This window comes from Homo sapiens, chromosome 12 (genome assembly GCF_000001405.40).
Source record: "Homo sapiens chromosome 12, GRCh38.p14 Primary Assembly".
Lineage (NCBI taxonomy): Eukaryota > Metazoa > Chordata > Mammalia > Primates > Hominidae > Homo > Homo sapiens.
Genome location: NC_000012.12, coordinates 129,768,877 through 129,782,678, shown reverse-complemented (window position 1 = coordinate 129,782,678; position 13,802 = coordinate 129,768,877). Strand labels below are relative to the sequence as shown.

Genomic DNA, 13,802 nt, shown 5'->3' with positions numbered 1-13,802 from the left:
TGTGTGACTTACCTGGCTTTATCAGGAATACACCTGTGTGACTTACATGGATTTATCAGGAATACACCTGAGCTTCCTTTTCCCTTCCCCTTTTCCCAGTGGCTGGGGCACAGGCAGGAATGGGGCTGAGGCCAGGCGCAATTTTAGGGCCTTTGTAAGCATTGTGCTACTTAATTCTCATGATATCCCATAAGCCAGGTACAATCAGCCGCCACCCCCACGGGCACCCCACCACATTTGTACAAACAACAAAGGCACAGAAAGGTAAATCAACTTGTCTAAGATCAAACTGCCACAAGGTACTAGTAGAAGCAGTATTCCAAACCAAGGTTTCCAATTCCAGAGCCCATGGTCTGAAACACAGTTGAACATCTCCCGATCCGAAAAACTGAAATCCGTCATGCTCCAAAACTGGAAACTTCTTGAGTGCCGACGTGGTGCTCAAAGGAAATTTTCACTGGAGGCTTTCAGATTTTGGATTTTTCGGATTAGGGATGCTGAACCAGTAAGTGTGATGCAAATATTCCATAATCTGAACAAAATCGAAAACACTTCTGGTTCCAGGCATTTCGGGTAAGGGATACTCAGCCTGTACTATGCTATATGTTTTCACATGTCTATTCTTACATTGGGGATCATATGAGACATTAACCTCGTCATGAATGCTCCTCCATCCTCTTTTCCAAGAGTTAATATTGCATTACATACGAGGTTGTGTGCAGAAAGGGTAGCATCTTGAACTTCTTAAAAAAATTCAAGGTCTCCTGTCTCCAGTGTAAATGTGACTGCTAATTGCCAAACAGGATCTTTTCTCATATTTTCTTGAATAAGTTAACTCCCGGATTTTAGCTGGGCCCATGGATGCCCAGCTAAAGATGACATTTCCCAGCCTCTGTTGGATCTCAGTGAAGCCACGCTGCAATGAAGCTGTTGCCAATGTGATGTGAGAAGCAACTCATGTACTACTTAGGCCTTTCCTTTAAAAAGACAAAATGTGTGTTCTCTGGTTCTTTGCTTCCTACAGGCTGGGATGCAGATGTGATAGTGGTAACCAAAGCAGCCACTTTGGTTCCAGAGGTAGAAGCCATATGTTGAGAGTTTCAGAACTACCCTACTAGGCCAGGACTCTCTACATGAGGGGGAAAAAAGAACAGTAAACCTGTGTCTTATGTAAGCTATTGTATTTTTGGATGACCTTATTATCATTTTAAATTGACAAATAATCATTGTATACATTTATAATATACAACGTCTTTGAAATATGTTACAATCACTTGTTTATGGTACCCCGATTAACGTACTGAGAAACATGTCTCATACCTGACCATCATCAGAGTTTTCTCAGCCTGCTTTGCAGTGCCTGTCTGATTGGGTGTTTAGAACTATTTCTATGAAACACAAGTCAGAAATCTTGTGACGCAACCATAGATTAAGACAGATGAACCACCTAAACATTTATGCATAAAGAGCCAAGAAGAAGACATGTGGCGGTTTCTGTACTGTTAGCATCTGTACAATCATTAAGAGACTTAAAACCAAACTCTGCTCTTAGGAGTTTATAGATTTAAAATATATATTTTGCAACAAAGCTTTTGATGGCATAACTCCTTGTCATTCACTTTGTGCCCCCAAAAGATGCCTTTGAGCCCACAGAGCTCAAGCTGCTGTCACCCCCCAGCAGGGAGTGGCCAGACAACTCAAATCATCCTCTCATTTATGGATTCAGGAGCTGGTTAGAAATTAATTCACTACGAATGTTCCTGACTATGGCTGTTACTGGAATACTGCTAAGTTCCGTGTTAATCAGCTGTCTCCCCAGAAACATGGTTATTAACATCCCTTTGCTGTAGATCAAAGAGAGATCCCAGCCACTGTTTCAATTTTCTCTTCAATTTAATGATGGTAAAAAGGTACCGGATGAATGGCCCTGAGGTCCTTTTCAGGTATTTATCTATGCAGCAGGTACAGGGGGCTTGTGGTAGCCTGAAATTCACCAATTACGGACATTTCCTGTAGCATAACTATCTGTGTCTTTGCCCCGCCTTCCCATGGGTCATAAACTCAAGTGCCCTCAAAGCCAGGCAAGTAAAGCAAAGTTTGGGGAAGCAGCCAGATGGCAGCAGGGTCTCCACAGAGATGCCTCCTGGCTGGAAGTGACAGCTGCCCCTCAGCTACCACAAAGGTCGCTATCCAGGAATGAGGGCTCTGGGTTCCTGGATCTTCCTCTCTCCTGAGGACAGGTAGATGTCGAGATTTCTATGCAAAAATCTCCCATTTTAAAAGGTAAATAATTTCCACAAAAGATTTAAAAACATTTTGTGCCCCCCCGGCCCCCCCCCTCCCCACCAACAAATTCTACAAGCTAAGCCAAAGCCCTGAGTGTCCTCTTTCAGACATTACTCACCTGTTCATGCTCGGAGGGGGAGGGTCAACGCTGTCCACAGTGCCCAGCACACAGCGGGACGGGGAGATCAAACTATGTCTTTCAAGTGAGAAACCTCAAAGGCAGAAAAGCGACCGGTGCTCGGGCTTGGATGGTTTGGGCGAGACACATCTGAATGCCCCTTTGCGGGTGGGTGTGGGAGAAGCGTCTTAGTTGAAGCTAAGAAGTCTGCTCTTAGCTTCAGGGTGTGGAGTCGGCTCTTCACACTCCTAACTGTGAAACCTGGGGCAGTTAGTCTTCTGGGCTCCTGATTCCTCATGGATGAAATGGGGCTGACAGTGCTTTCTCGGAGGATGGTTGTAAGGATTTCTGGAGTCAATGCGTAAAAGCACGTTGGTAAAAATAGTAATGTGCTTCACCTGCAGATTCTTTTAATTATTGTCCTCGCAGCTCAGTTCATTTCTCTCTGTCTTCCCCAAGTGGCATAGAGACCTTAAGGCCGTCATGAGTTTGAGTGGGGAGGCGACCCCTTAAATCCTGTTCCCAGAATAAACCATAAGTAATGAGACTCGCCAGAACAAGAGCTGTGTCTAAAAATGGGTGGGGCCTGACTGTGGAGGGGCCTTCTGATGGTCTCTTCCAATACCTGCTCTTCTTCCTTTCAAGAAACAAAAGAAACAAACAAAAAAACCCAAAACAATAACAAAAACCTGGGCCGGGTGTGGTGGCTCACACCTGTAATCCCAACACTTTGGGAGGCTGAGGCAGGCAGGTGGTTTGAGTCCATGAGTTTGAGACCAGCCTGGGACAATATGATGAGACCTCATCTCTACAAAATATTAGCTGGGCATGGTGGGTGGACACCTGCAGTTCCTGCTACTTGGGAGGCTGAGGTGGGAGGATCACCTGAACCCAGGAAGTGGAGGTTGTAGTGAGCAGAGATAACACCACTGCTCTCCAGCCTGGGCGACAAAGTGAGACCCTGTCTCAAACAAACAAAAATCACTGAGCACATGGCCAGCTGGAATAAAAGCTTCATTTCCTGGTACTGCTTGTAGCTGGGTGTAGCCGTTCTACTCTGCATGTTAAAGCATCAAATGGGGCTTTCCAGATGGATCCTTCCTAAGGCCTTGTATCCTTCCTGCTGGGTGGATTTGGAATGTGATGCCTGGAGCTGTTGCAGTCGCCTCGTTGTATGAGAATGGTAAGGACATTGACGGAAAAAGAGGCAAGGGGTCAGGCTCCCTCTCAGCCATGGAGGCACAATTCTAGCCCAGGAGTGCTTAGCACTAGATAGTATTTACGTGAGAGAGAAAGAAACTTTTATCTTTTTTAAGCTGCTGTTCCGTTTTGCTCACATAGCCTTTATCATTGTCCTGTTATTCACAAACCCAGTGTCTGTTGCCACAGGCGAGGTAAGCAGCTATATAATGATGATGGAAAAGTCCAGAAGTGGCTAATAGAGACATAGAAGAATACCTCCCTCCCAAGACAGAAAGCAAAATAATGTCGAAAAGTTTAAGCACCACAGTATTAGGATTATAGCAGCTCCCTCCATAGTGCATCCTACCCAGGTAAGTCAAAATACAACCATGCCGGGGTCAGAGTTCAAGCTACGATTATTGTTTACAGTCACCAATTCCAAACATGTTTTTAGCGTCAAAGTATCAGATTGTCTAAAATTATCCCAGTGCAAGAGCAACTTGCCAACCATTTTCTAAAGTGTCTTCAATGCTCAGGATGACTGTGCCTGGGGGTGGAAGAGAGCCGAACTGATGTGTGCCTGATGGTGCCAAGTGCTCACGTGTCTTTCGGGAGTCACAAACAGCTGGAAAGAACGGCTGCAGAGTCTCCAGATGTGTTTTTCTTGTCCATCGGCAGCTGCGTTGAATCCAGATCAGTGCAGGTTATGAAGCCTTTTATAGGACTGAGCTAAAAGTATACCCTGGGTTGTTGGAGCATCAGGTGTGGGAATGATATAATCAGTGAGGTATGAGAGTCGGGCTGGCACAGTAAAATTAGGAAAATTTTGAAATTTAAAGGGGGCAATTTCTGGTAATTTTTTTTAAAGAATGGGAGAAATAAAAAATATTTGTGTTTTTTTTTTCTGATTCCTTCTTTTCTTAGATTGTTAAAAATTATATAAGGGTAAAGAGTGATTTTTTTTTTTTTTTTTTTTTTGAGACAGGGTCTCACTCTGTTGCCCAGGCTGGAGTGCAGTGGTGTGATTATGGCTCACTGCAGCCTTGACCTCCTGGGTTCAAGTGATCCTCCTGCCTTAGAAGTAGCTGGGATTACACACCTAGCTATTTTTTTTTGTTTTTATTTTTTGTAGAGATGTGCTATGTTGCCCAAGCAGGTCTTGAACTCCTGGGCTCAAGTGATCCTCCCACCTCGGCTTCCCGAAGTGCTGGGATTACAGGGGTGAGCCACCATACCCAGCCTAGAGTGATTTCTGATTTAAAATTTATTTTTTGAATTAAATGAAATTTATTTGTGTTTGATTTTTTTTGTTTTATATGTGAGGTGCTCTTGGCAGTAATTGATAATGCTTGTGTTTTGTAAAGGGGTGGTAAAAAGTTGGTATATGATAAGAAAAGAGGAAATTCCTCTGAGTTGTACTATAAAGTCCACACAGATTACCATATATACATGGTAAGTGGTTGTCCTCTTTCTGTTTACAGTAAACCCCTGATCATATTTCCAGAGCTGGGTTCTTCTTGTATGTGTCTGTTATTATTTCTGCAGTAGTTGCAGTAGCTTGCTGAAGTTGCTGCTTGGACGCTAGGAGCCAGGATGAAGTAGGCTGGGTGGCCGTTCTGGTACAACAAGGAAGCTGTTAACCAGAGGTTGGGAAGGTAGGAGCTTGCAGCCTGAATCTAGCTCGCAAGTGGATTCTGTTCTTCCCACGCAGAGTCTGTTTTAAAGTTTGGATTAATCGCTAATTTAAAAATTCTAGGTGATATCACATAGAAAAAAATGGGTGTCTGGCTTCTTGACAACGAGTAGGGCTGAGCCCCAACTTTCCTCTGAGACAGGGTGTGTGCCCTAATTCTCGGCACCTCCTGCCTGACTCGCTTTTCACCTTTGTGGTATCAGACCACCGCTGAATCACCACTCTTCCTATTCCTGGTTAAATAAATGTCGTATGAAATAACAGTAACAAACATCACAAGTGGCACTTTGCCCTGGGGAAGGTTTACAATTTATAGACCCAGCTGCTAACAACCCTCAGCCATTCTCTAGGGTTTTCTAAAGTGACTAAATCAAACATATATGGTGCAGATATTTAACAACACCTTTGTTAATAAAAAAGAACACATCTCAGAGCCTTGCTCTGTTGTTGGAAATGACGCTATTCAAAGATACAGATTTATTTTCCTACCCAAAGGTGTAGATATCGATTAAAAACAGCTAAAGAAGGAACAGATTTTGTGATAAAAGATGTCTTTTTTTTCCTCCTTAAGAGGAAGGGATTTTTCCTTTTCTTTTTTTTTTTTTTTTTTTGAAGCCCATTATTTAAAAATGTAGCTACAGACCTGACATGTCGTTGCCACTATTTCTTTCCTAGTTAAGAAGCTAGAACTTGCATAAATGGTTAAGGAACACAGTCTTTCGTTGCTGAAGTATTCAATTTAAATATGTTTATCACCAAGTGTATTACTGCTTGAAAAAAATGGATTAAGCAATTTTTCCAAAATACAAGCAGCAAAGTAGAGATGTGATTTCGTATGAAGCATGAGGGGTGAATATTCGGCTTTTTCCTTTTTACTAGTAGTCAACCACTGGTCCCTGAGAAAGAACCAGAAAAGAGTTGCCTTGGGAAATTGGGGTAAGGGTGGGTGACAATGAATATTTGACAAATAAAATAAAGCATCATTGGAAGGCGCTGAGTTTTTCTGTTTTAACTTCCAAAAAAAGCTTCCCAAGTGGCAACTTCCGTCAAATCTTTTCAGCAGTCGGCCTTAGAACCCACAGCTAGCAGAGGGATTACCTGTACATACAGGGGCAGTGTTTACTCTCACCTTGTATCTCATGCTTTTTGGGGTTCACGTCCGTGTGGTTATGGAGCAATTGGCATCATGGATGAGGTTCCAGCATTTACAGCCCAGGATTACCATCTTTATTCTGGACTTCTTTCTCATGATTTTGCTTTTAGGCGACAAAAGGGATGAAGATAGACCGACCCCTTTTCCAGCCTTCCTGGAATTATTCGGTTGAAATCACCAGCACGACACAATATTCATTACAGCTCAATTTGAAGGCTCATGAGTTGCTGAATCTTGTTTTTTCACCGAGACAGAGGAGAATGTTTTTTTCTTACTATTGAAGCAGGATAGCCTGGGGTACTGATTATCAAATGGATAGATAGATTGGTATATAAAATTCCTTATTGATAGACGATTGATAGAGTCCTTTACAGTTAAATAGATCAATGAATAGATAATTATATTTTCACCATATTTGGGACTCTGGAATTATGGCAGGTGCATATTTTTGTGCAACAAATTTAATGCCTGTAGGTGCTGATCTGTGGGGACAGAGTGTAGGAGGAGGGGCCTGGGAGGCAGGAATAAAGTCAGAACCCTTTTAACAGATCGCAACTGGATGCCATTTATGGCAGTTTTATCCTTTTCTCTTTGATTTTCTCCTGCATTTTTCTGTTTTTATTTATCTTCTCGCATCCCTTCTGCAGGGATGCTTCCATCCCTTTGTTGCTTCCATCCCTTTGTTAGTTGGCCTCAGTTTCTGTCACAGACATGCTAACGGATGCAGAAACGTGACAGCCTCGAAAACTGCAGCGACACTCAACCAGTGAACAGGGGCGATTTGTACTTTTCTCTGGCAGCTTGAGAGGGGCCTCTGCACAGTGCTGGTGGCTCTCCCATGCCTGGTTCTGGTACAGCAGGAAACTCACTCTGGTAGGAGACTGGGCAAGGTCGCTGCTTGTCATCTGCAGCTGGGGTGGCATTCCGCCCAAATGTTTGATATTTCACGGTGTCCTCATTGACATCCAAAGCCTTACTTGCAGAAAATCAGGAGTGGCATGGATAGGAAAGAGAAGGAATACCTTGAATAAATACACGATAAAAATCAGAATCAATAGCAACACTTTTAATGATTGAACAGCTGAAGAATACATCTTTTCCTCTTTAGATTATTACACTTTTGTGTGGATTAAGGCTAGGCATTTATTGAGATTGTTTTGTGTTCTAAGAAAAACCTGAAGAAAGGAAACTATACTTCAAATAAATGTCTGTAACAATAATGGTTAACATTTCCCCAGTGCTTTATGAAGGCCTGACATGGTTCTGTGCCCCTGATTTGTCCACACTTACTGAATCCTCACACTTCTGTGAGGTTGGTGCTGTCATCATCTCCATTTTGCAGCTGGGGAAACCGAGTCACAGATCCATTACTCAGCGTGTCCAAGGTCATGCTGCCGAAAGCGGTAGACTGGTTAGAATCCCAACAGACTCACTGTAGAGACTAAGCCAGGGACAGTTTTGGTGCCATATGGTGTCTTCATTTTTGCCTAATCCTTTGCAGTCTTGGTCCACATCTGTGCATTCTGCCTCATAGCTGTGACCATTGTGTACAGGAGCTTTCTGCTTTTGTTCACATCACATTCCATCAGAGACTTGGTCTTAGTTTCTGCTCTTATTACAATTACTGTGTAACTGTGGCAGTCTTATATTTGGAGTCTCTACCCCGGTTACAGTTGGCTCCCTCACTGTTACCAATGATCTCTGGTATTTACTGCCCCATCCCACAACCGACGTGATTGCAACGGGCCCCCCACCTGCTTGATGGAGATGGGCCTTACCTTCAGGTTACACCCGATCTAGGCAGCAGCCATGAAAATCCCTTCCTGGCAAACACAGAGTTGAAACCAAGACAGAGGTTCAGTCACTGTTCATGAGGTTGGACCCAGGGCAGGTCACCTTGAGATCTGAAGGGTGGGCCCAGGAAGTAGAGGGAGATGAGGACGTAAAGAGAAAGAATAATGAATCCAAGTCCTCAGAGAGGCAGAGATGAAAGACAGAAAATGTATCCTAATGGCCATGTACAATGTGTTCCCATGTGGCCATTAATAAACTGCCCCTTCTTTGGGGGGGCCTGGGACACACCCCTGGTCAGGCAACACTCCTCTTCCTGTCCTGCAATTCTCATCCACAGAACTGAAAACAGATAGAATTTTACATTTCTGTGTGTGACTATTGTAATAGCCTCCTGCTTTTTGGTTCACCATGGTTTCCACAACCACCATCTTAGAATATAGTAGCAAACATGTATTCAGTGTATCCTATGCTCCTGGTACCAAGGACCAGGTTTATATGCATTGTCTCATTTAGTAACCAGAGCTGTATATCTTAGCATTCTCATTTAATGGATGAGAAAATGGAGGCATTAAGAAATTTGCCCAAGTCTTCATGGCAAGTAAGTGGCAGAGCTGGGATTCAAATAAATACCACTTGGTGAGGCCCCGTGTTCTGTATGCCAGCCCAAGTTGATTTATGTTACTTCCAACCAAGAATGTCCTGGTGAATATGAAGTATTCCATCCAGTGACGTGCTCTTATTGTTTAACCATTCATAGACATTTAGGGTGCTCCTATGCTGCCTTGGTCTAGTTAATCCTGCTCTGAGCATCTTTAGCGGTGGAAAAAGATACTCTCAATATATACCCTCCAGACACGCAAGCCTCTCTCTGTTCTCGGGAGAAGTGAAGCTTGTCTCTCCCTCTGGGTTTTTGCACTAATTGTTCCTTTGCCTGGAACATCCTGCTGCTTCCATATCTTCACTCAACCGACCAACCTTTCTCATTCCCAGCCCTCACCTCCAGTGTCTCCAATGAGTGAAGGCTCTGCTGATTCCACTGAAATCACCACCACCACCCTTACCTGCCGCTCATCTGTCATCTCATGCTATTGTCTTCATGACACGTGGCAGCCTCCACAATTAAGCTGTTGGCTGTCTACCTGTTTGTGTTCCATTTCACTCCATTGCAATGTGTCTGCCTTGCTCACTGCCGCCGCCCTCGCACCTGAAGTTTGCATAGCATACAGGAGGCGCACGATGTCGAATGCGTAATTAAGTGAATGACTGTATCTTTTTTAATTTAGCAAATTATTTCGTCAGCATGAATCCCTACGAATGGAATGCCTACAGGGCATTTGTATCCTAGATCCTTGCATACCCAGGAGTGGCTGCTGCCCAGAAAAGCAGCCTGTATTTCCCCCTTGTTTGTTCTAACAAACCGCTGACTCTTCCCTCATGATTTTCTGCTCTGCAGGGATGAAAAGAGTCCTGTTTGCTCTTGCTTCCTTTTCTCAGTGGTACAGCAATGAATCTTGCGCACTCTGTCAGCATCTATGTCTTCTCCATTCCTCAAAGATGCTAAAAAAGATAAATGATGTGGGAGGAAGTCCGAGCCAGGAGTTGCCTAAATGCAATGCAGCTTCCGCCCTCACAGGTCCCCAGGACCTGGGCTCAATGAGCTTTGAAAATGGAGGCAAAGCAGTTAGTTACACAGCCCTGGGCCTCTGCTGGCTTAGAGGCTCTCTTTTGAGGCTCTGATTTGTCCTTTGACTTTGTGTTCTGCTTTTAGAAACATCTAGATGCTGTTATCAGGGGAAATGAAAGAGTAGGAACAGACAATAGCTCATGGGTTTGCTGACATGTATGCTGCAGGAGAGCCTTGTTTTCAGGGGACCTTTGCAGACCATGCCACGGGATTTATGACTCATGGGAAATGGAATGCAAATGTTATGTTGATAGGAAGCCCTTTCCAGGAGTCGTGGGCTGGATTTCAGTAGTTAAAATGGAAATACACATTTACTTTCTTTAAAATATGCAACTTTTCCCCCCTATATGATACTGGACTCTTTTTCCCATTTAAATGACTTAAATTTCTTACTATATATGAAGTCCGCATCATTAAATTAAAAAGATACAGTTTGTCTTCTTACAAGAGTTGTACTTTCTTACTGTAAAGCCCTCAAATTATACTATTGAATTTTTGATGCATATCTTAATCAATTTAAATTATAGGTGTATGAAAGTACTCAAAGGAAAATTCTGTTGCAGCTATGCTTTGGAATGGCGTGCACCTGTTAAAAAAATGAGACAGGTCAATAGTTTATCACACAAAGGGAGTTTTACAATACATTAATTTTTTTTTTTAAAAAGGCTTCTTCCACTGTGTGATCCCACTTGTGAATGATAAAAGGCATACCTCTGGGCAAGTTCTCCCCTAGGGTTGCCACTGGGGGAAATGCAGCACTCTGCTTTCTTGGGGGAGATATCACTGCCGTCCTTTGTTTATATAACTTAGGTTATTTAAGCTTTATTGTGACTCAGTTTCTTTGTCTGTGTAATAAGCATAATAGTACTGACTTCATAGAGCTTTTGTGCAAATTGATGAGCTAATATTTGTAAAGTCCTAGAGGTTCTGTTAAACTTTCATGCATGTATATGTGTGTGAATATGATTGACAGGTTTACCTGAATTCTCGTCATCAGAGAACCCCACACTGTATTCAAAGGCAAGGGTAGTAAATGTCCCATTGTTAACCGGGATTACCCAATAAAAATGGCTGTCAGATGCCAAGTGCATTGGATCGCTGGGATCACAGGACCATTTTGATACTCTTCTTGCTCTTGAGAGTCTAGATTCTTGGTGTTAAGGAACAAGGTGCCTTTAGCAAACATGAACTCTCAAAATTACTCCAAAGCACGTACATGGCCCCAGTTTGCAAATAGGCAACCGGCAGTGGCAAGATGAATAGCTGCATCCATTCAAGTAGCAATTAAGACCCATTGCTGTGTTTTGTCATGCTAATGATAGTAGCGGATGCTTACCTGGCAATTACTGAGCCCCCAGCACAGGTGAAGCAGCTTATGTATGTTATCTCCTGGAATCATCACAGAAGCCCATTGAGGCAGGGACTGTTATTATCCACATTTTACAGATGAGGAAATTGAGGCACAGAGTGGTTAATCCCCTCAAACCTGCACAGTTGGTATGCGGTAGAGCCAGGAATGGAACCACTGCCCTGTGCTGCCTGTTAGGAATGACACGTGCAAAGGCAAGAAGTACATCATCCGCCTGGGGAGTACCCTCGTCTTAGAGTGGTGAGCGTGCTTCATGTACACACATTCTGCAGACATGAGCTGTTTGGGGAGAGAGGAACACAGCTGGAGCCCGAGTGCGGGCTGCACCCTCTGTTCTGCTCATGAAACCCTGGAAGGGGAGCAAGATGGAAGGCAAGAAGGGGTCATGTCCTCAGGGACCTCCCTTCACCTGTGCCTCTCCGAACTCAGTGAGATACGAGTATTTAACTAAACACAGGACAACTACAGACAGTCCTCGGCTTACGATGGTTTGACTTAAAGTTTCTTTTACTGTACAATGGTGCAAAAGCAGTACACATTCGGTAGAGACCATACTTTGAGCAGCCATACAACCATTTTGTTTTTCACTTTAAGTACAGTATCCCATACATTTCATGAGCTATTCAAGACTTTATTATAAAATAGGTTTTATGGTGGATGATTTTGCCCACCTGTAGGAAAATGTAAGTGTTCTGAGCTTGCGTAAGGCAAGCTAGGCTGAGCTGTGATGTTCCGTAGGTTAGGTGTATCAAGTGCATTTCTGACTTCTGATATTTTCCCCTATCATGGGTGTAACAGGAGGTAGCCCTATTGTAAGTCGAGTGGCATCTGTATTTCCCTGATTCTCAGTAATATGTTCCAGTGCCATGTTAGATGAGCTGAAAGAATTTCTATCTCCAATGTGGTGCATAAATATGGCTGAAAAAAAGCACCTTCCCCACTTTCTCAAAAGAATCCTGGGGAGGCACAGTGGCCCACGCCTGTAATCCCAGCATTTTGGGAGGCCGAGGCAGGCAGATCACGAGGCCAGGAGTTTGAGATCAGCCTGGCCAACACGGTGAAACCCAGTCTGTACTAAAAATACAAAAATTAGCCAGGTGTGGTGGCATGTGCCTGTAATCCCAGCTACTCGGGAGGCTGAGGCAGGACAATCGCTTGAACCCAGGAGTCAGAGGTTGCAGTGAGCCGAGATTGTGCCACTGCACTCCAGCCTGAGTGACAGAGAAAGATCTGATCTCAAAAAAAAAAAAAAAAAACAACCAAAAAAACCCACAAAGAATCTCATGGGCCCTATGCAGTGGCTCACACCTTTATTTCTAGCATTTTGGGAAGTGGGAGGATTGCTTGAGCCCAGGAGTTCGAGACCAGCTTCAGCAACAAATCAAGACCCCCATCTCCACAAAAATTAAAAATAAAAGAACGTTCGTCGGGTGTGGTGGCACGAGCTTTGGTCATACCACTGCATCCTAGCCTCAGCGACACAGCAAGACCTTGTCCCAGGGGAAAAAAAATCCCAGTCTGAGTATGTACAATCCTAACTCATAAGCAGATCCTTAGTTTTCTGCTTCCCTGGACAACTATGTGAGTCCTTCACAAGTTTGAATGTTTTACCCCCTGGATAAACACCCCTTAATAGATTCAAAAATCCTTACCAGTTAAGACCTCTTTCAAATGCCTGTTGCCAGCACTTGTTTTTAATAGCCTTCCAAGGATTGGCTAACTTACAAGGTAATTCTTCCCCAAGACTCTCTTTTCCTGAGAGTCAGGGGGCTTTTATCCGTCTCTTCAACAAGGCTGCTTTGGAGGGCAGTATTAGGCATGTAGGTATGCAAGAAAGCCTGACCTTCTGACATGTCAGGGACTGATACGGTTTGGCTGTGTACCCACCCAAGTCTTATCTTGAATTGTAGCTCCCGTAATTCCTCCGTGTCATGAGAGGGACCAGGTGGAGATAATTGAATCATGGGGGCAGGTTTTTCCCATACTGTTCTTGTGGTGGTGAATAAGTCTCATGAGATCTGACGATTTTATAAGGGGTTTCGCCTTACACTTGGCTCTCATTCTCTCTTGCCTGCTGCCATGTAAGACATGACTTTTGCCTTCTGCCATGATTGTGAGGCCTCCCCAGCCATGTGGAACTGTGAGTCGTTCAACCTCTTTTTCTTTATAAATTAGCCAGTCTCAGGTATGTCTTTATTAGCAGTTTGAGAACAGACTAATACCGGGACCTAGGGGAGGGGGCACCAACTTCAGGCTAATGAGTACATCCCTTCCCTCCCTACAGTGAAGCTCTTATAAAATGATGAAATCTTCTCTTCAAACTGTGAGTCTGTAAGCATTTTCTCCACCATGGCCACAACTGAACAGGCTGGCCTACATGCACCAATCCTACTGTACTTGATGTGGGCTCGAGGAGCTTTTCAAGGATAATTGGAAACAAATGTGATTTTCTCCTTAGCTGGTACCTTTAGAACTGAACTGCCAACATCAGGTGCAATCCCACAGTATCCTAAAAGTTCGTTG

The 13,802-nt window shown here is 43.7% G+C and overlaps 1 protein-coding gene across 1 annotated transcript in view, besides 2 other annotated features; it reads left to right on the top strand.

The window, feature by feature from the left end:
• The window catches only part of TMEM132D (transmembrane protein 132D), an 832,300-nt gene that overhangs the window by 121,347 nt on the left and 697,151 nt on the right, over positions 1 to 13,802 (top strand). The gene's annotated exons all lie outside the window — the stretch shown is intronic.
• Positions 10,476 to 11,059: an enhancer, noted in NCBI's record as "OCT4-NANOG hESC enhancer chr12:130256165-130256748 (GRCh37/hg19 assembly coordinates)". NCBI's record gives its function as "activates a minimal SCP1, AML or CMV promoter by ChIP-STARR-seq in naive H9 embryonic stem cells {active_cell/tissue: H9 hESC(naive)}" and the evidence as "EXISTENCE:reporter gene assay evidence [ECO:0000049][PMID:30033119]".
• Positions 11,060 to 11,643: an enhancer, noted in NCBI's record as "OCT4-NANOG hESC enhancer chr12:130255581-130256164 (GRCh37/hg19 assembly coordinates)". NCBI's record gives its function as "activates a minimal SCP1, AML or CMV promoter by ChIP-STARR-seq in naive and primed H9 embryonic stem cells {active_cell/tissue: H9 hESC(naive and primed)}" and the evidence as "EXISTENCE:reporter gene assay evidence [ECO:0000049][PMID:30033119]".